Source organism: Homo sapiens, chromosome 18 (genome assembly GCF_000001405.40).
Source record: "Homo sapiens chromosome 18, GRCh38.p14 Primary Assembly".
In the NCBI taxonomy this organism is placed as follows: domain Eukaryota; kingdom Metazoa; phylum Chordata; class Mammalia; order Primates; family Hominidae; genus Homo; species Homo sapiens.
The window spans coordinates 62187252-62213304 of NC_000018.10; the positions used below are offsets into that span (position 1 = coordinate 62187252).

The 26053-nt window shown below is 36.9% G+C and overlaps 1 protein-coding gene across 28 annotated transcripts in view, besides 2 other annotated features; it reads left to right on the forward strand.

Moving 5' to 3' along the window:
- The window catches only part of RELCH (RAB11 binding and LisH domain, coiled-coil and HEAT repeat containing), a 122995-nt gene continuing 96945 nt past the window's right edge, over window positions 4–26053 (forward strand). For all 28 annotated transcript variants that reach the window (NR_144408.2, NR_144403.2, NR_144409.2 and 25 more), the window contains exons 1-2: window positions 4–780; window positions 23902–23991. Coding sequence is in view for 17 of the 28 variants with exons in the window: in NM_001346230.2 (NP_001333159.1) it covers window positions 255–780; window positions 23902–23991 (616 nt within the window). In the remaining 11 variants the exon portion in view is untranslated. The remainder of the gene's footprint in view (window positions 781–23901; window positions 23992–26053) is intronic.
- Window positions 110–319: an enhancer, noted in NCBI's record as "active region_13429". NCBI's record gives its function as "activates an Ori minimal core promoter by ATAC-STARR-seq in GM12878 lymphoblastoid cells {active_cell/tissue: GM12878}" and the evidence as "EXISTENCE:reporter gene assay evidence [ECO:0000049][PMID:35858748]".
- Window positions 470–689: a silencer, noted in NCBI's record as "silent region_9502". NCBI's record gives its function as "represses an Ori minimal core promoter by ATAC-STARR-seq in GM12878 lymphoblastoid cells {active_cell/tissue: GM12878}" and the evidence as "EXISTENCE:reporter gene assay evidence [ECO:0000049][PMID:35858748]".

A 26053-nucleotide genomic window follows, 5' to 3' on the forward strand; every position in this document is an offset into this window, starting at 1 on the left:
TCCAGTTCTCGCGAGACTGGAGACCAGGAAGACGCCTGCAGAGCCGGGCTGCTGGTGCAGCAGAGGCTGAGGCATCAGGTGCAGCTGCATCCGGATCTCCTGCCTTGGAGCGTACTCCTTGTCTCTAAGTCGGGAGGCAGGACGTGGTCAGGCCGGGGCTGTGGAGGTGCGCTGTGTCCCCTGAGGCCTAGAGGATTCGGGCTGCGGCCCGTCGGAACCAGTCAGGGAGGCGCCCACACTCCTGACAGGATAAGATGGCGGCGATGGCGCCTGGAGGTAGTGGCAGTGGTGGCGGCGTGAATCCATTTCTCAGTGATTCGGATGAGGACGATGACGAGGTAGCTGCAACAGAGGAACGGCGGGCAGTACTTCGGCTGGGCGCCGGAAGTGGCCTAGATCCTGGCTCTGCGGGCTCGCTGTCGCCACAGGATCCCGTGGCCTTAGGAAGCAGTGCGCGGCCAGGGCTCCCTGGGGAGGCGTCGGCGGCTGCAGTGGCCCTGGGGGGCACCGGGGAGACCCCGGCCCGATTATCAATTGATGCGATCGCTGCTCAGCTGTTGCGCGATCAATACTTGCTGACCGCCCTGGAGCTGCATACCGAGCTGTTAGAGAGTGGCCGGGAGCTGCCTCGGCTGCGCGACTACTTCTCCAATCCAGGCAACTTCGAGAGGCAAAGTGGAACCCCGCCGGGGATGGGGGCGCCAGGGGTCCCTGGAGCAGCCGGCGTTGGGGGCGCTGGAGGTCGGGAACCGAGTACAGCGTCGGGCGGGGGACAGCTCAGTAAGTGGACGCAGCCTGTCACACTCCGGCAGGGTATTTGGGATTGTACGGAGTTACTGTAGGGGAGAGGGGGTATTTCTGCGTGGGTCCCGATAGGGACATTTTAAGGAACGAGAGTATTGGGGTGGGGGCGCTCTTTTGCGGTGGAAGCAAGAGGATCAGGCAATGACTGTTCTCTCTGCCTGCTTCCAACCCTTGGCTGGTGTTGCACTTGGCTCCTGGCTCCCCTACTGGTGTCAGTATCTATAAAATATCAAGAGTTTCTAGTTCACTGGCTATTACGGGACTCCAGAAGGTTCCCTTTTATACTAGTTTATTGCTTTAAGCATTTTCCTTTTTCTCCAGTTACCTGAATCACACTACCAGGAAATAGTGTTACCTGAATTGCCTGCAGTAGTTCTTTGAGTCTGAGCCAGGAGAGAAAGAATAGGACACACTGCTGCTGTCTCCGAAAAGTCAGATGTACTTAAGACCCTTTGTCTTTGGGACGACTTTTTCACCGCCAAAATTGGGTTTTCTGCTGCACAAAATTTGTTCTGTTGAGATAAAGTTGATGTAATTCAGTTTCAATGCCTTAATTTAAGTAATGTCCAAAATTACAGGAAATCCAAGGAGCAAGGCAGACAGGTTCTACCAGCAGTCTGTCTCACCATCCCACCACCTTGCAGGCTTTTCTCTTTGCATTAGATAGGAATTGACCTTTTTACCTTGGAATGATTTTTAGCAGCATAGAGTAATCGTTTACCCCATATATTCGTAAGCATCTCTTATGGCTTGAAAACTTACTGTCAAAGATGTAGTGTACTGTATGTAGGATTCCCAGTGTCTCCCTTTTGGGAGGTATCTTAAATATTCCCTTACTAATGTATGGAGATGTTTTAGTATGAGGCCATATATTAATTCTATATTAACAAGTATTCATATAGAATTTTTAAACTGCAGCCTAATTGATTTTTTTTTAATCACTATGCTTTTGAATAGTGCCAGAGACTTAAATTGCCAAACGTAGACGTGGTGGAAGCTTAGGGAGTGCATTTTCTATCAAGGTGAATCTTAAATATATTTCCCCCTTGGATATGGGATTTTCTCAGTAGTTATAATTTCCTTACCCAATATGTAGGATAATCTTCTTTTTCGGGAAAAGATTTTCTCATTGCTGACCTTTAAGACTATAAAATGAGACAGTAGTGTAACAAAATTGTTATGTGTGGTGGTGGGTCTTTTTTTGTTTTTTTTTTTTGTTGTTTTTTTTTTTTGGTTTTTGTGTTATTTCTAAGATTTCTAAATTATCTCATGATTTTTCACCAGACAAGGTCTAGCTAAGATGTCACCTTTGTACATGCTTCCTCCAGGCTTAGGTAGTTGCTTGGTTTCTTTCATTGTTAACACTTTCAAACCTCCATCATAGCCTTTAGCCCGTTTGTATGTGATTGTTGACAATACCATTTTTCTCCATTGGTCAGTTCTTCAGAGACATTTTTATAATAAATTTCTCACACTTTGCTCAGTCCCTGGCTGTTGATGAACATAACTGAATTGTATCTGCTGTGTTTTCAACCGTATTAATACAGTGAAATGGATTATTCCTTAGTTGGTAACTTTATTCATTTAATTTTAAAGAATTTCTTGACCTTTTCACCCTGTCTTATTAGGGCTATCATAGCATTGTTTCTAGTGAAAATTCCTCCTTGCAAACTTTTTGTATTGAAAGAATTATAATTGAGCTCATTAAATAGTTTAGCAGTGTTTTAGAGTAAAACCTTACTTCTAAGTGCCTTTGCATTATACATTTTTATACTTTCTTGAAATAACTAGAGTCTTATGATCAAATATCACAATTAAATATTCATGTGCACCTGTGCTTTTCTATTATCCTCATTTATTTGTACCTGTTTTAGGTACTGGATATATAAGTGTTTGTGTTTGTCTCTATGTGTGTGTGTACACATCAAGTTTATTAAATTTTTACTTAATACTAAGCAAATGAACAACAGGACAAAAAATTCAAAATTATCCATAATCCCACCAATGGTATTTGCTTTTCCTGTCTTTAATGGTAGTTGCCTTACCTGTCTTTTCTGTGCATGTGTTTTAAAAAACAAAAAATGGATTAAACTGTTTAACATAGTCTTATACAGGCACTATACTTTTTAGCATCAACTTGGATGTAAAATTTGCATACAGTAAAATTTACACGTTTTAAGTGTGTGCAGTTTGGTGAGTTTTGACAAATCAGTCACTACCACAATTAAAATACAGAACATCGGCAGGGTGCAGTGGCTCACGCCCGTAATCCCAACACTTTGGGAGGATGAGGCAGCCAGATCACGAGGTCAGGATTTCGAGACCAGCCTGGCCAACATGGTGAAACCCCTTCTCTACTAAAAATACAAAAATTAGCTAGGCGTGGTGGTGGGCACCTGTAATCCCAGCTACACGGGAGACTGAGGCAGGAGAATTGCTTGAACCCAGGAGGCAGAGGTTACAGTGAGCCGAGATCCCACCACTGCAGTCCAGCCTGGGCGACAGAGCAAGACTCCATCTCAAAAATAAATAAATAAATAAAAGTAAATAAAATAAAATACAGAACATTTTTATTATCCCCAGAATTCCTTCATTCAATATCCTTACTTCCATCTAGACCACCACTGATCACTTAGAACAGAATTTCTCAACCTGGGCCTGGGTACTTTCAACATTTTGGGCCTGGTAATGCTTTGCCGTGGCTGCTGGCCTGTGTATTATAAAATGTTTAACAGCATCCCTGACCTCTACCCACCAGATGCCTTTAGCAACCACCCCCATACCTATGCCACCCCAGTTATGACCACCAAAAATGTCTCCAGCATTGCCCAGGGAAGGGGAGGGCATAATTGCCCCAGTTGAGAACTACGTCTTTAGATAAGTTTTGCCTGTTCTAAAATTCGATATAAATAGAATCATAGAACGTATTTTTTTGTGTATCTGCCTTCAGCATGTTTTTAAAAGTCATCTATGTCTTTGTGTGTATTTCTAGATCATTCCTTTTTGGTTTTATCCCCAAAAGGGGGGGATAAAAAATTTGTGTCTTTTAAGACATTTGTGTTTTTTCCAGTTTTGTGTTATTGTAAAGAAAGCTCCCATTTACGTCTTTATGAGAAACTGCCAAACTGTTTTCCAAAATGGACCATTTAAAATTTCCACCACCAATGTACAAGAGTTCCAGTTTCTGTACATCTCCTAAACATTTGGTATTTTTGGGCTTTTTAATCTGTCATTTTAGTGAGAATGTAGCAGTGTCTCATTGTGGCTTTAATTTCTATTTCCCTGATGACTAATGATTCTGAGGTCCTTTTCCTGTGCCTTTTGCTTAGTATATTTTTTATGAAATGCCTATTCAATCTTTTGCACCGTTTTTTTCACCTTCAACTTCCAGGGTACATGTGCAGGGTGTGCAGATTGGTGACATAGGTAGACATGTGTCATGGTGGTTTTCTGCACAGATTAACCCATCACCTAGGTATTATGCCCAGCACGCATTAGCTATTTTTCCTGATACTCTCCCCCTCACCCACCATGTCCATGTGTTCTCACTGTTCAGCTCCTACTTATATATGAGAACATACGGTGTTTGGTTTTCTGTTTCTGTGTTAGTTTGCTGAGGATAATGGCTTCCAGCTCCATCTATGTGCCTGCAAAGGACATGATCCTGTTGCTTTTTATGGCTGGCTGCATAGTATTCCATGGTGTGCATGTATCACATTTTCTTTATCCAGTCTTTCATTGATGGGCATTTGGGTTGATTCCCATGTCTTTCCTATTGTGAATAGTGCTGCAATGAAGATACACATGCCTGTATCTTTATAATAGAATGATTTACATTCCTTTGGGCATATACCCAGTAATGGGATTGCTGGGTCAAATGGTATTTCTGGTTCTAGATCTTAGAGGAATCACCACGCTGTCTTCCACAATGGTTTAACTAATTTACAGTCCCAGCAACAGTGTAAAAGTGTTCCTATTTCTCTGCAACCTCTCCAGCATCTGTTGTTTCTTGACTTTTTAATAATCACCATTCTGACTGGCCTAAGATGGTATTTCATTGTGGTTTTGATTTGCATTTCTCTAATGATCAGTGATGTTGAGCCTTTTTTCATATGCTTGTTGCCGCATGAATGTCTTCTTTTGAGAAATGTCCATTCGTGTCCTTTGCCCACTTTTTAATGGGATTGTTTTTTCTTGTAAATTTGTTTAAATTCCTTGTAGACTCTGGATGTTAGACCTTTATCAGATGTATAGGTTGCAAACATTTTCTCCCATTCTGTAGGTTGTCTGTTCACTCTGATAGTTTATTTTGCTGTGCAGAAGCTCTTAAGTTTAATTAGATCCCATTTGCCAATTTTTGCTTTTGTTGCAATTGCTTTTGGCATTTTTGGCATGAAATATTTGCCCGTGCCTATGTCCTGAATGGTATTGCCTAGATTTTCTTCAAGGGTTTTCATAGTTTTGGGTTCTACATTTAAGTCTTTAATCCACCTTGAGTTAATTTTTGTATAAGTTGTAAGGAAGGAGTCCAGTGTCGATTTTCTGCATATGGCTAGCCAGTTCTCCCAGCATTTTATTAAATAAGGAATTCTTTCCCCTTTGCTTGTTTTTGTCATGTATGTCAAAGATCAGATGGTTGTAAGTATCCAGTCTTATTTCTGAATGCTCTCTTCTGTTCTGTTGGTCCGTGTCTGTTTTTGTACCAGTACCATGCTGTTTTGGTTACTGTAACCTTGTAGTATAGTCTGAAGTGAGGTAGCATGATGTCTCCAGCTTTGTTCTTTTTGCTGAGGATTGTCTTGGCTATACGGGCTCTTTTTTGGTTCCATATGAATTTTAAAAGTTTTTTCTAATTCTATGAAGAATGTCAATGGTAGTTAAATGGGAATAGCATTGAATCTATAAATTACTTTGGGCAGTATAGCCATTTTCATGATATTGATTCTTCTTATCCATGAGCATCCATTTATTGTGTTCTCTCTATTTCCTTTAACAGTGGTTTGTAGTTCTCCTTGAAGAGGTGCTTCACTTCCTTTGTTAGCTGCGTTCCTAGGTATTTTATTCTCTTCATAGCATTTATGAATGGGAGTTCATTCATGATTTAGCTCTCTGCTTGTCTGTTGTTGGTGTGTAGGAATCCCTGTGATATTTGCACATTAATTTTGTATCCTGAGACTTTGCTGTAGTTGCCTATCAGCTTAAGAAGCTTTTGGGCTGAGACAGTGGGGTTTTCTAGATACAGGATTGTGTCATCTGCAAAGACAATTTAACTTCCTCGCCTCCTATTTGAATACCCTTTATTTCTTCCTCTTGCATGATCCCTGGCCAGAACTTCCAATACCATGTTGAATAGGAGTGGGGAGAGAGGGCATCCTTGTCTTGTGCCAGTTTTCAAGGGGATTGCTTCCAGCTTTTGCCCATTCAGTATGATATTGGCTGTGGGTTTGTCATATATGGCTCTTATTATTTTGAGGTATGTTCTTTCATTACCTAGTATATTGAGAGTTTTTAACATAAAGGAATGTTGAATTTTATCAAAGGCCTTTTCTGTATCTATTGAGATAATCATGTGGTTTTTGTCTTTAGTTCTGTTTATGTGATGAATTACATTACTGATTTGTGTATGTTGAACCAATCTTGCAACTCAGGGATGAAGCCAACTTGATTGTAGTGAATAAACTTTTTGACGTGCTGCTGGCTTCGATTTGCCAGTATTTTATTGAGGATTTTTGCATTGATGTTCATCAGGGATAGTATTTTGCCCTTTTTTAAATTAAGGTTTTTTACATGTTGGTTTTGTTTCATTATTGAGTTGTAAGAGTTCTCTATATGTGCATTATCAAATGTGAATTTTGCAAATATTTTCTTCCAGTCTGATTTCCCTTTATTTTCTTAATGATGTGTCTCAGACCAGGCGTAGTGGCTCACACCTGTAATCCCAGCACTTTGGGAGGATGAGGTGAGCAGATGGCTTGAGCCCAGGAGTTTGAGACCAGCCTGGGCAACATGACAAAACTCCGTCACTACAAAAAAAATACAAAAATTATCCGTGCATGGTGGCCTATGCCTGTGGTCCCAGCTATTTGAGAGGCTGAGATAGGAGGATCGCTTGAGCCCAGGTGGCCAAGGCTGCAGTGAGCCATGATACCACTGCACTCCAGCCTGGGAGAAAGAACGAGACCCTGTCTCAAAAAAAACCCCAAAAAACAGTGTGTCTTGTGAACAAAAGCTTTTGATTTCATCAAATCCAGTTGACTGTTTTTTTCTTTAATAATTTATGTTCTGTATGTCCTTTTGAGAAACATTTGCCTACCCCAGAGTTGCAAAGATTTTCTCTTACAAGTTTTATAGTTTTGACTTTTACAATTAGGTCTATGGCGGCAGGAACCGTATTTTAATGAAGGTATCATAAAGGAGAAAAGAAATATTTCTTAAATATTCCTCCTATAAACATGTAGACATTTATAGTACAAACTTTAGTACAGTTTTAAAATACTTGTATAAAACTGTGCTCAGTACTGTATTTGGAAGATTTCAACTAAGCTCCTGATCACACAAATTATATTGTCTAGGACAGGGCTACTGCCTATTTTTAAAGGTCCTCTATATATTCAATTTTAGCATGTCGATTGATACTACTTGGATGTGATTTTATAATACTCAATAAGCACTTGTTGGTTGATTATAAACGGTTTAAAGATTGGTAGTATGGATTATCTAAAACATTATTTTGATTTGTTTTTGTATATATTTTGATTGATATGTGTCTGATCTGAAAATTCAGAATACTTCAGAACAATAAATGTATAATAAAAAGTGGTTTTCTTTATTTAATGATGTTTAAGAACAATGCAATCCTATTAACCTTTATAATTTTAGATTTAGTGAATTATCTCCCTAAAACTGTTGACTTAATACTGTAATATAGTTGTACTTTTAAACATACTTTAAGAAGTCTTCATACTGTTTAATTTTTTTCTTGATTATAAGAATAATCCATATTTACAAAACATTCAAATATGAACAGGATATATAGCTTTATAAGTTTGATGTTTTCAATAGAATTTCTATTAACTGAATAAAATTACTTTTAACAGATATTCTAAGGAAATCTCAGTTTTGGATAAATTCTTGTAGCATCGTTGTAATGTTCCTACTAAATTTACATGATGAACCAATTAGATCTTTTATATGTAATATTATTTGCTGGAATATACACACACTCTGTGTGTGTGTGTGTGTGTGTGTGTGTGTGTGTATACACTGTATTTTTGCCAGGTGAGCCAGGATAGCTTCCATTCAGTACTTTGTTTTCTAGTTACATTGCAAGATAAAAATTGTGGTAATGACATTGATGAACACTGAGCAGGTTATAGTAACTTAGCAAGAGTAATGCTTTTTCTGCTTGAAGCATTAGGGCTCTAATCAAAATTAGACTGTAATTTCTTATGATTAGCCCAGTTCTTTGCACAGTAGAGATGTAATGTGATCAAGTGGAGAGGGCAACTAACATGCCTTTTGGTGATAGATTTCTTTTACCATGCCTTCAGATTTTTATAAGGCAGCTAACAGGAGGTAGTCATTTATGTTTGAATGTAATCATTTCACCTATGAGCTTGCAGCCTTCCAAAATCATCTTCCTTTTTTTTTTCTTTTTTTTTCGAGACGGAGTCTCCCTCTGCCAGGCTGGAGTGCAGTGGTGCAGTCTTGGCTCACTGCCATCTCCACCTCCCGGGTTCAAGCAGTTCTCCTGCCTCAGCCTCCCGAGTAGCTAGGACTACAGGCGCATGCCACCACACCCAGCCAATTTTTTTATTTTTGGTAGAGACCAGGTTTTACCACGTTGGCCAGGCTGGTCTCAAACTTCTGACCTCATGTGATCCGCCCGCCTCGGCCTCCCAAAGTGCTGGGATTACAGGCGTGAGCCACCAAGCCTGGCCTAAAATCTTTCTTTCATGATCCAACGTATCGTTTCTCAGAACTCTGAAAGCATATATCTAACTATGCTCGGTGTTCCTTTCTTAGCATCGCCAACACTAAGATGTCACGATTGCTTTCTTACAAACTTTTCATCCCTTCTACTTTATAAAGTAGTTCCCCTCTGTTAAGTTGGGATTGGATTTAGTGTTTCCTCTGCTTTCTGAGAGAGAAAATACCAGCGCAATTTTTCTTTTCTTTTCTTTTCTTTTTTTGAGACATAGTCGCCCTCTGTCGGCCAAACTGGAGTGCAGTGGCACAATCTTGGCTCGCTGCAACCTCTGCCTCCTGGGTTCAAGTGACTCTGGTGCCTCAGCCTCCTCAGTAGCTGGGATTACAAGCCCGCACCACCACACCTGGCTAATTTTTGTATTTTTGGTAGAGATTAGGTTTTGCCATGTTGGCCAGGCATGTCTTGAATTCCTGGCCTCAAGTGATCCACCTGCCTCGGCCTCCCAACGTGCTGGGATTACAGGCGTGAGCCACTGCGCCCGGCCCCATCACAACATTTCTAAAATTTATTAAGTTCACTGCTTTTACCTGAATTAGACTTTCCACTATTCTCTGGGCCATAGACGTTCCTAAATATATCTACTGTGTAACTGTCATTTTTCTTTCCTATGTCTTTCCAATTGTTTCAAATTTATTCCTGTAGTTAGATATAATCCCTGCTTAGCATGGTGGCCTGAATATAGTTGGTATTCAGTATTTTTACATCGATATATTTATTAAACATTGTGGTCAGTTAAGGATTACAGCGATCTAAAAGTTTAATGCATATCCTTGAGCTTATGTTCTTGATGGAGAGGTAAGACTAACACATGAAAGAATTTGAGAATAGTCTCCTGTGGCAAAGATAATGTTTACAGAATATAAACATTCTGTTATAGAAAAATCTTTGTTGATTGTGAAAATGAAATGGGCCTGTGGGGAAAGTAAAAGTTAAGTTTGACCCTCCAGAGTGGGTAAAATTTTGAATAAATAGTAACTTTATTATTTGGCTATATTTAGACTCTTTATCCTGAGTAAGGAAAGGAAAAGGAAGTACAGGTGAAGGAAAGATAATAGCTCTTGTATTTTTTCATGTTTAAAACATCATCTGGGAACATGACACTCCCTGCTTACCATCATCTGCTTACCATATAATAGGGTGTTTCCACTGGGGTAGTTGCAAAAATACAATATGACATTTCAGCCTCTTGTGGTACTCTACAAGGAAGCAAGATAAGGATATTAATCTGGGAAAACCAACCTTATTTCTGTGAAAAATTAAAATTATGCTTTCTACTTTTCAAACAAGGAAGTTAGAGCTGGATCTTCAAAATGTTTGTTAAAAACCTAGATTGGTTGTTTGGCATTTTTCAGTCAAAAATTAAATTGAGTGAATTTGTTTTTAATTTAGCTTTTAACTGTGCTGTTCCACCCTATCCTGCAGCTCCCAGCCTCCCAGCCTTGTCTAAAAATACACAATACTTATATCTGAATTACAAATATCAGTTGAGAAACTTCACATCTACAGTATACTTAGTTTCTACAAACTAAGGAAATCTATATAGGAAAACCTGAACAAGTTGACTGTAAATTGATTAATTTTCTTTAAGGATAGATTCCTCATAGATTTCTGAGAATTGAATACCCATTACAATTGAATATAGCAATGGTATTTACCAAGATTCAGCAAAAGATAGCGGGATCAAGAAGAATGCCCTAGAGCTGATATGATTGGATTATACTAAGATACAGGACAGACATCTCATGTTGGTGTGAACAAATAGAGAAATATGGGCTTCATCATAGTAGCTGTGGAAACATTTTGACTGATAAAACAACACTAGGTCTGTGCCAGACTATACCAGCTATAATTTTGAAATCAGCCTATTGTTTGAAGACCACTGGACTTATACCAATGTCTGATCTTCAGTTCTGTCTCTGCCACTTACTAGCTCTTTCAGCTTGGGTAAATCACTTCTTAATGCAGAAGGCAAGCCAGATAGTACAAAATTGATCATTTAAAAAATAATTAGAGTGACAAACCATAGCACCACACTAAGTCACAGATGAATAATCTGCCTAAAGCATCACTTCATTTCATCAAGGCGCCCACACTGCATAGCATTAAACTTAATCAAAATTAGGATAGTCACATCCTACATGTGATTGTAGGATATCTGGGCAAAGCCCAGGATCAACTAAACCTCAACTGACAGCCAAATATAGTCATCAACTGTTCCTCTCTGTGAAATAAACTAACAAGGCCAAATTAGCTTGTGCTCTCTTTTTTTTAATCTTCAGGGTTTGCTGCATGGTTACTTATAAGTTGCTGATCTAGTCATGGAGCATGACTAAACCTCAAGGAGGAGTAGAACACAGTTGCAATCATGGGTGTAGCCTTCTTCCAGATTTTCTCACCTATTATGTCAAAAATCCTCAGCCGTCAGAAATAGTGTTCATTTGTTTTTGAAACCAGCTGGTCCTGTTGTGGGTGGATAAGATTGCTCAAGGTAGTATCGTTGACATTTCTGTTACTTCAAACCACCTATCAGTGTGTGCTTGTGAGCTCCCTTAGTTTAGGCTTTAGCTCACATTTGTACCATCAGTTTTAGTCTTATCCTATAGCTTTAATCTCTTCCTCCATCCTTACTCTTACTTGATTTTAAGAGTTATTCATTCATAGTTATTTATTCATGTCATTCTAGCTAAAGCCTTTTAAATAAAATTGCTTCCTCCTGTCCGAAGCAACTTTTTCAAACCTTTTTTAGTAGCAAAAAAATATATATTACAGAAAAAATTTATAAACCTCACTAGGAATTTTTTAATTTCTTCTCTTTTTGTACGGTATATTTGTCAAAGTATAAAAGTGACTTTAAAATATTTTATTGTGGCTATGTATAATAAAGTTATCCCTTTAGTTTTGCTTCTTCCTGCCCTTTCAACCATGTTGTCCATATGCAAAACCTTTATTCTACTCACATTGTTTCATTTTTCCCTTGAAACATGTGTTATATTTTCTTGAATATTTATATTTATTATATTATATTAATATTCTATTTTCTTGCCTGGTATCCTTGTCCACATTATTTTTTTTTTCTTATGGAATACTTGTCCTGTCTTCCATATTTCTTCTAAATCCTGTGCATCCTTAAAGGAAGATCCTGTTTATATTCCTGCCTTTCCCTAAAGTTTCTCCAGCCCATGGTGATCTCTAAATCTTCTGTACTTGAGGGGTTTTTTTGGCTGTTCCACTTATGGAAATTAATTATATACAGACCTGTGAATATGTGTTTCTAATTAACTCTTAATAATATTATTGAAATGTTTGTGTGTAGATGTTTTAGCTGACTAGATTTTTTAAAAGATGTTAGCTCATAGGTCTTATATTGTCCTCTTTCATGCCTAGCATAAATGCCTAAGGTAGACAGTTTATAGAAAATTTATCTGTGTATCAACAGTACTTAATATTGTGCCTGGCATACAAGCTTTCAGTAAATATTGAAGTTACGTTAAAGAATTGATCTTTAGGTAGTAGTTTCCTAAACATTTATAAGTTGGGAATATTTTCTTGTGAAAATTAACCTTTTACTTTATATCCGATTTCCTCAACTCTGTCTGAGCAAGATTCCATCAAAGCTCTGTTTCTGAGGCCATTCACAACATCAAACCCAACTTACCTGGAATCTAGGCGATCAGAACCTGGATGCTCTTACATATTATTCAAGAGAACCAATGGTTTAGAGCTCAGGCTTTGCTGTCGGAGAGCTTGAGTTCATATTTCTATTCTGCCACTCCCTCATTGCATGACTCTGGATAGTCTTTGTTTCCTTTACTGTAAAATGCAGATGGTAATGACTCCTTTAGCACAGGGTTGTTATGAAAGGTTATCTGTGTAAAGTATGTGGCATAAAATAAGTGGTCAAAAAGAATGTTAATAATAATAATTACTATTGTTGTCATCACTAACAATAATCATTCTCTTTACTAATAGCTTTTCATATGATAAAGTCATCTTGTATTATAGAAATTTTAAGTGACTAGCTTGTCAATAAAGTTTCAGCATGTAAGTTTCTTCCCAAGTGTAAATCTTGACTTTGAAGTTCCACTCTTTCTGAAACCCTGTGACAAAGAGAAAAAGACAGTGGGCTGCAAACTGGGAGGCTTGAATTCTACTTCTGGCTTGCTCACAGATTAATTTTTTAACCTTTAAGATAAAGTAAGCCAATTGTATTATTGTTATCCCTGTATATGACTTAATTCCAATGATTCATAAGCTTCCTTAAGGCAAGGACAAAGTTTTACCGAAGTTTTATCTTTGTACTCCTCACTATGGCTTAGTAAATACTGCATAAGTACATAGCTTCAGTTCTCTCATCTGTAAAAATGAGGGGATTGTACTGTCTTAATTCCTTTTAGCTCTCAAATATTTTGGACATAGAGGTCAGTGAAAAATTAGCCCCATCTTTGGAGAGGAATTGAGGATCAGGAAAATATAAATGTGAGTGCCGCAGTTGCTAAAAGTAAAAGGCTGTCCCCAACTTTTTTTTTTTTTTTTAATGGAGAGATAGACCAAGATCCTGGTCTATCCAGAAATTAGCCTTTCTATTCTGGTGTATCATGTGTATTCTAAAGTGTTTCACATCTTTCCTTTCTTTATCACCAAGGTTACTGCTATACCAAGCCTTCCAAATAATTTCAGAACTGACCTTGAGTGGGAGGAGGCAGAGTACCTTTGTGGTTTTACTCTGACGTTTATAAATACAGTGCCCACATAAAAGAAACTTTTCATTAGTATTGAATGAATTTTATATTATTTCCAAAGTAGAAAATTTATAGTCTTATTTTTTTAACTTTCATATTTTAGAGTAGCCTTATAGGTTCTCTTTCTTTGACATACATCTCTGAGATCCCACCTTAAGTGAATAACTGTTTTTTCTTTGCTTTTTTTTTTTTTTTTTTTTTTTTTTTGAGACTGAGACTAGCTCTGTTGCCCAGGCTGGAGTGCAGTGGCGCGATCTCGGCTTACTGCAACCTCCGCCTCCCAGGTTCCAGTGATTCTCCTGCCTCAGCCTCCCAAGTAGCTGGGTCTACAGGCGCATGCCACCATGCCCAGCTAATTTTTTGTATTTTTATTAGAGACGGAGTTTCACCGTTTCAGCCAGGATGGTCTCGATCTCCTGACCTTGTGATCCGCCTGCCTCGGCCTCCCAAAGTGCTGGGATTACAGGCGTGAGCCACCGCCCCCGGCCCTTGAATAACATTTTAAAATGTTTACACACAACCTCAGGTTTAAATAGAATTACTTTTAAAGTAAGTCTGTTATTAGCAATATCTTTATATTTATTGAATTTATTATTATAAATTTCTTTCTCATGACAGATTTTTTTAAGCATGGTTGAATAAATCGTCTTTACTGAAAGAATTGTAATATAAAGCGAATTGCTTGATTTTTTTTCCATTTAATTGTGAATTGGATACTTTCATGATTTTTAAATTATAAAGTGCCCATATTAAAGTATATATTAAATGTAATTATGGGGGAAAATGCCAAAAGTAAAAACAAAAAGCTCAAATAATACAAAGAGAAATATGTAGTGAAAAATGTACTTCTGCTTCTCAGAGTCAGTTATTATTAATAATGTATTGTGGATGTTTACAAAAACATTAATGCAAATGTAAGCATATATAAACATGATTACTTAGACTTATATATCCATGTCCTTTAAAAAAATTATTTTGCTATTCCTGTCAGTGACCTAGTTCACAGTAGTTGTTCAATAAATATTTAAATTACCCAATACTCTTTTATTAGTCGACAGCTGGTCCGTTTTTCTGATGCATTTGGTTCTTAAAGTGCCATGTAGTTTTCAAGGATCTGAGACTAAGTTTTTCAATTATAGTAAAAACATTTTTCAGCAGTACTAAAATATTAAATGTAAATATAAATAAAACTACTTTTGTATGTGATTTAAAACATCAATCTGCACGACTGTGTATAATAGGTTTAGTTCTCAGACTTGATAAAACTTATGAACAGGTTTTACCAGTTTACCAACTATGATGAAAGTACCTGATTATTTGTTTCTGAGTTATAAAGTGAATTGTTAAGAAGTTACACAATAGGCATCCTGGTATTTGAAGAAATGCTCTGTAGTTAAAATACTTCATATTAGAATATGGTAGATTCTTAATAAAAGAGGCTAATTTTCCCAAACTCTTCTTGTATATTAGGACATTTGGAAAACAAAAGGCATTTGCTTCTCCTGGAAAAGAATTGTGGCTTAATCTAAAGAAGCACATTTACCTTGAAGCTTTAATATAACCTGTTACTAGTCTTAAAATCCAAAGTACATATAGGGTAGTCCAGTCAAAGTTAAAATTACTTTCTTCCATAAATAATTTTTCTTTCTGACAAGATGGAGTAGATTTTAATGAATTGAGAGATTGTTTTTCTTTTGTGACATCATATTTATTATATTAAAAGATATCAGAGCTTTTTTTTCCTGGAGAATATGAAGTTGTTGGCTTGGAACTAGAAAAAATTAGAAAATATATTTTTCAACGGCCATGATAATGCCAAGTTGAAAATTAAAGTGTGTGTTTGCTTTCCCCCAAGAGTCTCCCTGTTGAATAAATGAGTTCTTTAAAACTTTTAGAGAAATAATAATGGTGTTATTGAAGAATAATGTCTCATGACCAAAGTAGCTCTAATCTAGGCTTGTATATATGATTTAAAATATTAGAAGGAAGATGAAAAAGACTTAGTAAACTAATAACAGATGGATACCTAATAAGAAATATTTATCTGAAATTAACAGCCAACACCATACCTAACATTCTATTAAAATCAGGAATAAAACAATGAAGCCTGGTATCACAGCACCAGAATATTGGTTGATAAAAGTTCACCATTGAGTGTACATGTTTTCCTATGCAGGTTAGAGACTTCAGAGTAGCTAATAAGGAGCCACGACATGGGCCTAAGAGAAGAGAAGATAGTACTCAAGTGGAGTTTCTGCTTAGGGCAGCAATGGCCAGATCAACTAATATATCAGGAATATCTAGATATTAAATACAAGATCAAAAGACATGAATAGATAATTCACACACAAACCCCAAAAATAAATGGTCAATATATTTTTGAAAGAATGTAGCTGGACATGGTGGCTCACACCTGTAATATCAGCACTTTGGGAGGCCGAGGCAGGCAGATCACGAGGTCAAGAGATCGAGACCATCCTGGCCAACATGGTGAAACCCCATCTCTACTAAAAATACAAAAAATTAGCTGGGCGTGGTGGCGGGCGCCTGTAGTCCCAGCTACTCGGGAGGCTGAGGCAGGAGAATGGCTTGAACCTGGGAGGCGGAGGTTGCAGTGAGCCGAGATTGCGCCACTGCACTCCACCCTGGTGACAGAGTGAGACTCTGTCTCAAAAAAAAAGAATGTCCAAGCTCACTAGAAATCAAAGAGATACATAATTAAACAAAATATAATTTTATAGCATGTTAAATTGGTGAAGATTAAAAATAATACTGAACATTGACAAATGCTGTTACATATTATTGTTGGAATTCAGATTGCTATGTACACTTATTTTGGAAAGCGATTTAGCAGTAGCCTTAATCAACTTTATCAGTAGCCTTAATAATATTGCAATTTCTCACTATATAAGCTTCATTTTTAAAAAACAATACATATGTGATCCCAGCACTTTGGGAAGCCAAGGCAGGAGGACTGCTTGAGGCCAGGAATTTAACACCAGCCTGGGCAACATAGTGAGACCCATCTCTACAAAAAAATTAAAAAGTTAGTCAGCAATGGTGGCACATCTCTAGTCCTAGCTACTTGGAAGGCTGAGGCGGGAAGATCACATGAGCCTAGGAGTTTTGGGTTACAGCGAGCTATGATCATGCCACTGCATTCCAGCCTCAGTGACAGGGTAAGAGCCTATCTCAAAAAAACAGCAAGATATAAGATTGTATATATAAATTTATTCTATTTTTTACACAAATATCTTTACATACTTATATATGGGGGAAAATTCAAAAAACAATATTTAGAAATTCAAGCAAAAAATTTGATGATATACTGCCCTTATCCCCAGTTTTAGTGGTGTTAGGATGATTTATCTAGTCTTCTATGTACTTTTATTTTATAATTATTTATAGTACTTTTTTAATAATTCGAAGGAATAATCATTTATAGTGTAATAAAAAATATTGGAGAAAAGTAGTTAGATTAATTTTATTTTAAAGAACTGGAAATTTTAGGTATTGCATAGTAATCCAGGAACTTCATTTTATTTTATTTATTTATGCATTTATTTTTTGAGACAGAGTCTCCCTCCGTCACCCAGGCTGGAATGCAGTGTCTCAATCATGGCTCATTACAGCCTCACCCTTCTGAGCTCAAGTGATCCTCCCACCTTAGCCTCCTAGCTGGGACTGCAGGAATGTGCCACCATGCCCAACTAATTTTTCGATTTTTTGTAGAGACAATGTCTCACTACGTTTCCCAGGCTGGTCTCAAACCCCTCAAACAGTCCCCCGCCTCAGCCTCCCAAAGCGCTCTGATGATAGCCATGAGTCACCACACCCAGCCCTCCATTTTATAATATGTCATATTAGTTATTTACCAAGGCAGACGTACTGATAACCCAATGGTTTATTCCAGTTTAGCATTTTATATTTTCAGTTATTTAAAAGGTCTATTAGTAAAAAGCCTTATAAAGTTTATCCACAATATTTTGAAATTTGTTTCCTTTCTTTTAGTGATTCATGGTCTAGCTTTGGTTCAATTTCAAACAGAGGGAGAAAAACACAAAATTTTTGTTTGTTTATTTAAGACAGTAAGAATAGCTATTTTCCAGGATTCAACCTTGATTATTAATGGATCCTGATCAGTGTTAGCTCATTTTACCCCCATACATTCAAGTTTTATTTCTTTAACTTTTTATTATGAAAAGTTCAAAGCATACAGACAAGTTGAAAGAATTTTTTACCCATACATCCACCACCTAATTCCAGTTAACCATACTTGGTTTATCTCATATCAATACATCTTTTCAGCCATTTCTCCATCAACAGTACATCTTATTTTTTATGCTTTTCAAATTAAGTTGCACATATCAGTACGCTTAATACTTTATCATGCATGTCATTAATTAGAGCTCAATATTTTAAAATTGTGGAGGTTTTGAGGTAATATTTAAAGAGAGTAAAATATATAAATCTTAAGTGTACCATTTGATAAGTTTGAACAAAGAATGTACCTGTAGTAACCCAAACTCATATTATATATACAATATTACCATCACCCTGGAAAGTTCCCTCAAGGCCCTTTCCAGTCAGTTCCTACCCCTTCTAGCCCTTTACCACAAGAACCACTATTAATTTTTTCCTACCGTAAAGTACTATTGCCTGTTCTAAAAACTTCATATAAATGAAATATTGTAGGTACTCCTATAAGGCTTCTTTCAGCATAAAGCGTTTGAGATTCACTCATATTATTGCACATGTCAGTATTTTATTTTTAAATTGCTAAGTAGTAGTCCTGAGTTCAGCACATTTTTAATATTAACTTTTTGAGATGTCTGTGGTTACTGTATTTGGTATTTCTTAGCTTGTGCTGAAAGAAACTATGTTATAATGAAGAGTACTGTAATATTTGGCTTTCTGTCATCATTATTTTTGTTTATGTTGTCTTAAAACTTAAATTGGGCTGGGTGTGGTGGCTCTCGCCTATAATCCCAGCACTTTGGGAGGCCAAGGCAGGAGGATTGCTCGAACCCAGGAGTTTGAGACCAGCCAGAGCAACATGGCAAGACCCTGTCTCCATAATTTTTTTAAAAAAATTAGCCAGACCTGGTGGCTCATAGTCCCACCAGCTAACTGGGAGGCTGAAGTGGGAGGATCGCTTGAGCCCAGGAAGTCGAGACTGCAGTAAGCCATGATTTTATCACTGCACTCCAGCCTGGGCAACAGGGCAAGACCCTGTCTCCAAAACAAACAAACAAAAACTTGAGTTGATAGATAGCAAGTTTTTTTGTTTGTTTTTGTTTGTTTGTTTGTTTTTTGAGATGGAGACTCCTTCTGTCGCCCAGGCTGAAGTGCAGTGGCACAATCTCAGGTCACTACAACCTCTGCCTCCAGAGTAACTGGGATTATAGGTACCTGCTACCATACCCGGCTAGTTTTTGTATTTTTAGTAGAGATGGGTTTTCACCATGTTGGCCAGGCTTGTAAAGGAGAACCTGCAAGCTATTACTTAGCAGGTATAATTAAACTGCAGGGAAATTAAATGTTTCTCCAGATAGAAACAGTGTTTAAGAAGAATGATATATGTAGAATTTCATTTAGTTCACCTAATAGGGATTTAAAGGCAAGTGGTACATTGATAATGACATAGCCCTATTTGAAGAGTCAACCATCTTGATTATTGTGATGTACTAACTGTTTTAAAAGGTGATGGGGGAGCCCAAGGTGGAGTCCAAATCTGTATTCCTATAACTTCCATTCATTTGTCAAGATTGTGCTTTCTATACACAAATAATCCATTTCCTTAGATCAATATGTATACTTTAAGTACTGTGTAAGTAACAATTTAACAGAGGGTTGACAATAGCCTCTTATTTGTCCCTTTTTAAACATTAGCTGGATAAAAAAAAGTTTTGTGTGTGTAAAATTTAATAGAGAAGCAGTTAAAATGTCCTTCCTGCTACTTTACAACCTACCTAGCCTCAGCTGTCATGACTTGCCTGCTCCCGCCCCACCCACCACCCCCTCTCCCCGCCCCGCAGCTTCTGTACATTGTAACTGCTATTCATACACAACTTGTCCATACTTGGAAAACTCAATACACTTGTTTGTTCTTTCCTTCTGCCTTTACTTTTTTGTAGAGGCAGGGTCTTGCTATGTTGCCCACCAGGCTGGTCTTAAACTCGTGGGTTCAAGTGATCCTCCCACCTCAGCCTCATTTAAAGTGTACAATTCATTGGTTTTTAGTATATTTCCATTCATTTTTAGTATATTTACAGAATTGTACAACCATTACCTAATCTACTTTTGCAGCCTGTTCATAATCCCCAAAACAAATCTCTTATCCATTAGCGTACACTCCATTTTCCCCCTCAACCCCCAATCACTAATCTCTATGTCTATAGAGACAGACTTTCTATCACTATATATTTGCCTATTCTGTGCAATTTATATAGATGGAAATCATACAATATGTGGTTCTCTTATAACTATCTTCTGTCAGCATAATGTTTTCAGAGTTCATCCATTGTTGTAGCATGTTTCAATAGTTCCATCCTTTTTATTGCTGAATAACATTCTATTGTACAGATATATACCACATTTTATTTCTTCATTTATCAATGGACAGATATTTAGTTGTTTCCACTTTTTTGCCATTGTGAATAATGCTGCTATGAATAATTATGTACAAGATTTTGTGTGGACATATACTGTCCTTTCTCTTTAGGTGGAAGTAGAATTACTGTCCTATGATAGATAACTCTGTAGCCTTTTAAGAAACTGCTAAACTGTATTCCAAAATGTCCATACCATTCCCACCAGCTAGATGTAAGGATTCCAATTTCTTCACATTGTCACCAACACTATTGTCTTGTCTTTTTATTAAAGTGAAAAATAATTCATATACCATCAATTCACCCTTTTAAAGTGTACAATTTGGTGGTTCTCTGTGCATTTACAAAATTGTACAACTGTCACCACTCTAATTCCAGAACATTTTTATCACCCCAAAAGAAACCCTGTACCTATTACCAGTCACTACCCATTCTCCTATGATGCCAGCTAAAATCTACTTTGTGTTTCTATGGATTTGCCAATTTTGGACATTTTATATGAATGGTCATACAGTATATAGCCATGTAGCCTTATGTGTCTAGCTTCTTTTATTTAGTATAATGTTTTCAAGGAGGAACTGCCAAACTTCCAAAGCAGCTGTACCACTTTACATTAAGAAGAGTGATGTATGAGGGTTTCAGTTTCTCCACATCTTCTGCAACTTACCATCTCTTTTACTACAACCATCTAGTTGATTTGAAATGTACCTCATTGTGGTTTGATTTTCATTTCCCTAATGAATATCATTTCCCTTTTGAGCATCTCTCCTTCATTCATTGGCCATTTCCATATCTTCTTTGGAGAACGCTTTGTCCATTTTTTAATTGTGCTGTCTTTTTTATTGAGTTATAAGAATTCTTTATATCATGTAGATATGGCCCTTAACAGATACTTGATTTGCACGTATTTCTTCCATTGTGTAGATTGTGTTTTCACTTTCTTCATGGTGACTTTTAAAGCAAAAAAAAAAAAAAAAATTTAATTCTGATGAAATCTAGTTTATCAGTTCATTCCTTTATCACGGTATTAGTTTCCTATGGCTACTTTAAAAAGTTGACAAAAACGTCATAGCTCAGAAGAACGCAAATTTATTACCTCATGGTTCTTTTTTTTCTAATTTTTATTTTAGGTTCGGGGGTGCATGTGCAGGTTTGTTATATAGGTAAAGTTGTGTTACGGGGATTTGTTGTACAGATTAATTTGTCACTCAGGTACTAAGCCTAGTACCCAGTAGTTATTTTTTCTGCTCCTCTCCCTCCTTCCACCCTCTACCTTCAAGTTGGCCCCAGTGTCTGTCGTTCCCTTCTTTGTGTCCATGTGTTCTCTTCATTTAGCTCCCACTTATGAATGAGAATATGTGGTATTTGGCTTTCTGTTCCTACGTTAGTTTGGTAAGGATAATGGCCTCCAGCTGTTCCCACAAAAGACGTGATCTTCTTCTTTTTTATGGCTGCATAGTAGAAATCTCACAGTGGGTCTCACGTTGAGCTAAATGGTCTAAAATCAAGGTATTGGCAGTTCTGGAGGTTTTAGGCTCTAGGGGAAGCCTTTTCCAGGTCCTAGAGGATGCCGGAATTCCTTGGCTCATGGCCCTCCTCCACTTTTCAAGATCTTTGTGATTACATTAGGTCTATCTGAATAACCCAGGATAATGTCTCTTTTTTAAGGTCAGCTGATAAGCAATCTTAATAATAACCTCACTTCACCTTTGCCATGTAAAGTAACATATTCACACATTCAAAGGAGTAGAATGTGGACATCTGTGAGGAGCCATTTTTCTGCTTACAACATTGCTAATGCTTTGTGTTATATCTAAGAAATGATTGCCTAACCCAAGGCCATGATGATTTGCTTCTGCATTTCCTAATAAAAGTTTTGCAATTTTCACTTACATTGGGTCTATGATCCATTTTTGCTTGTGATGTGAAGTAGTGGTCCAATTTCCTTTTTTTACATGTAGATATACAGTTGGCCCAGCACAATTTGTTGAAAAAACTTCTTTCCTCCAGTGAAATGTCTTGGTACTATTGTCAAAAACTACTTGACCATAAATGTAAGGGCTTATTTCTGGACTCTGAATTCTATTGCATTGTTCTGAATCTGTATGCCAAAACTGTGCTGCCTTGATTACTCTTAAGTTTGAAATCAGGAAGTATCAGTCCTCCATCTTTATTCCTTTTCAAGATTGTTCAGCTATTCTGAGACTTTTTTGTTTCCATGTGAGTTTTAGCATCAAGTTCTCAATTTCTGCAAAAAAAAAAAAGGCAGCTAGAATTTTGATAGGAATTGCATTGAATCTGAAGATTAATTGTAGAATATTGCTGTTCTGATATGGATCTTCTTATCTGTAAGCCTGAGCTGTCTTTCTGTTGATTTAGATCATCTTTAATTTCTTTGGACAATGTTTTGTAGTTTTTACTGTATACATTTTGCATGTTTTTGTTAAATGTATTCTTAAAATTTTTTTGATGTGTTTGGAAATGAAACTTGTCTTTGTTTTAATTTTGGATTGTCATTGCTAATGTATAAAAATCCAACTGATTTTTGTGCATTGGTCCCATGTTCTGCAACTTTGAAAAACTCATTTGTTACGTCTAATGTTTTTCAGTGGATTCCTGAGAGTTTCTTATATATAACATCATGTCATCTGTGAATAGCAGTAGTTTTGCTTGTTCTTTTCCAAACTGGATGTTTTTGGTTTCATGGTTTTTTATGAGGAATCAGCAGTCATTCACATCATTGTTTCCCTCTATGAGAACATTGTTTTTCTCTGTCTGCTTTTAATATTTTCTCTAAATTTTTGGTTTTTCGCTATTTGATTAATAGGTGCCTAAGTTTCTCTTCTCTTTACTTACCCTCCTTGATGTTCTCTGACCTTGAACCTGTACCTACCCCATCTCTTGCCTCATCAGTTGTGGATTCCAATTCTGCATATGTTAGACCTTTTTTATTGTTCCACATGTCCCTAAGGCTCTGTTAATTTTCTTTTCAATCTTTTTTGTCTGTATTCTGCAGATTGAATAATTTCCATTAATCCATCTTTGAGATTTCTGACCCTTTCCTCTCTCATCTCCATTCTGTGATTAGGCTGTACAAGGCATTTTTAATTTCAGATACTTGTATTTCAGTTCTAGAATTTCTATTAGCATTTTTTACATTCCATAGTTTTTGCTAAGATATTAACTCCTTTCGTTTATTGTATACATATATTCCTTTACTTCACTGAGCATAGTTATACTAGCTATAATAAAATCTTAGTCTACTGATTTTACCATTATGTCCTGGTATCATCTAGGAGTTGGTCCCATTGATTGTGTTATTTCTTGGAGTGGATCACATTTTACTGGTTTTTGTGTATCAAGTAATTTTTGACTGTGTGATGGATAATGTGTGTGTTAGGCCGTGAAGACTGGATTCTGTTCTTTCAGTAGGCACTTGTTCAATCTGTAAACTCTTTCTTAGGTGGCAGCTCAAACTTCTGTTTTGTTTGTTTGTTTTGTCCTTGCCTGGGCTGCTTGCAATATTCCCTGTGTGTGCATTATTTGGGAGTTGGCCGGAGATTTGGGCAGGGAAACTTAGTTAAAGTAACTTGATTGCTGTGAGCATTTTTACTTTGTTCTGTTGTTGTTGTTTTAAAAGAATTCCTGGATCTTAGAATTCCAGGTTTATTAACTGGAAATAATCATAAGTATTTGAATTCCTGTTCCTTATTTTAACAATTAAATTAAAAAACTTTTATATTTCTCTTTATTATAGATCGAGCTGGGAGCATTAGTACCCTTGATTCTTTAGACTTTGCAAGATATTCAGATGATGGTAACAGGGAAACAGATGAAAAAGTGGCAGGTGAGTAAAATTGTAAGGACAGATTTGGATTCTTTGACATTCCAGAAATAATGAAATGGCTTGAGGAATTTTTTTCCTTCTACAGTTTGGTATGTGACTATAACATATATAGTTATTATACAAAGTTATGTTACTAATTACTAATTTACTGCAAGTTTGGGGGTTCCCCAACTTTTTCTTCTTGTGGTACTGAGTTTCTGGTTATGTATCCCTATAATTTGCTAAGTTATACTTGGAGCCAGCAGTTTACAACCACACAGTTGTAAAACTAATGTATGACAGGTCCAAGACAAAGTTGAACCTTAGCCTCATTCCTTTGATCCTCCAAACCAGGGCTGATAGTCATATTTGTGTACCAATACAACTCTATTGATTGTTAAAAATTGGTTTTGAACCAGGCATGGTGGTTCACACCTGTAATCCCAGCTATTTGCTATTTGGGAAGCTGAGGTGGGAGGATTGCTTGAGGCCAGGAATTTGAGACCAGCTTGGGCAACATAATGACACTTAATCTCTTAAATTAAAAAAAAATAAATAAGCAAATAAATAAATAAATAAAATAAAAAGGTTAAAATACTTCTGTGCTTGTTGCTAAAACTTTGCCTTGAGTTCCCTGAGTGCTCACCAACCATCACAGCATGTCTTCAGAAATTTCTGACTTTGCTATGATCCAAAAAAAAGAGGGTTAAAGAGGGTTAATGATTGGTCCAGTAAGGGCCTCCAGGACACTGCCCATCCCAATAAGAAGGACAACATCCTTTTTAATTGCTTGGTTGCTAATTTCAATCTTCCTCCCTTCCCATCCCCCCATCCTCTCTCCCATACCAGTCTTGCCTTCTAGGCACCACCATTGGATCTGTAGGGACTTCAGAGGATCAGTTTGTACCCTGTGTTCTGCCTACACCAGATAAGCCCCATTGGAATTTGCTAGGGGTCCACTTTGGAATTCACCCCGTTAGCAGCCTTGGCTCCTTGAGTGTAAATATCTGCTACCGTTCTGGTGCCTCAAGTCTGTGTCTGTCTGCCATTGAAATCATTCTTGAGTGCCTTGCAGGAATTGTAGTTTTCATAAGACTTAGGCTTTGAGAGAGATGGAGAAAGCAGACAGACATCAGTTGGGTATCTTGAGCTCCATCAAAATGGTAGGTACTTCTGGAACAAAAGGGATGCCACATGGGACACACACGGTCTGTGAAAAAAATATGGGGTCAGAGAATACCCATAATGTGATTTCTGTTTTGACCAACTCTGTTGAATTTTTCTTCCATTTACTGGGACAAGTTTTTTAAAACATACCAAATGCTTAACCCTCGTGGTCATTATGAATAAAAATGAGTGCTAATTCTTATATAACATTTGTTCCATTCTAAACACTGTTCTAAATTTATATTAACTCACTGAGTTATAGAACTGTTATCTTGTTCCTCTCCCCAGGATATTGAGGCTCTGAGAGAAATTATGTAAGACTTAGTAGCAGAGCTAGGATTCAAATCCACATAGCCCAGGAACAGTCTACGATTGACTATTATTTGCTACCTCTTGGCATGAAAGATTAGGTTTGATCTAATTTAAAATGTCATTCCAATAAATGATTTTCATTCCTTGCTCAAGACTAGAGATATTGAATATTTTAAAATCTCAGACAGTGTTATATGAGTTAGAAAAAAAATGTAATTGTTTTTCTGAGAGAAGATTCAGCAATATAAATAATAGCAGAATATCCATGTAATGGGGAAATCACTAGAATAGTTTAATGTGGCTCTCCATGTCAAATCATGGTTGAGTTATGAGCATCATTTATTGACAACTGTATCAAAGTGGCAAATCACATTGGTAATATCTAAAAATTTACAATTCAAATTTTAGGATGAATTTATCCTAATTGTATCACTCATTAAATAGCACTTGTTATATATATTAGCTATTTATATTATAAAATATATGGCATTTTAGTTTATTTAGAGACTATATCTAGTGTTGTATAGTTTTATTGTACAAATTGTTACATATTAAAAAATAACTCCTACCCAGAAGTTATCCATATAATTATGTTTTTTCCTTT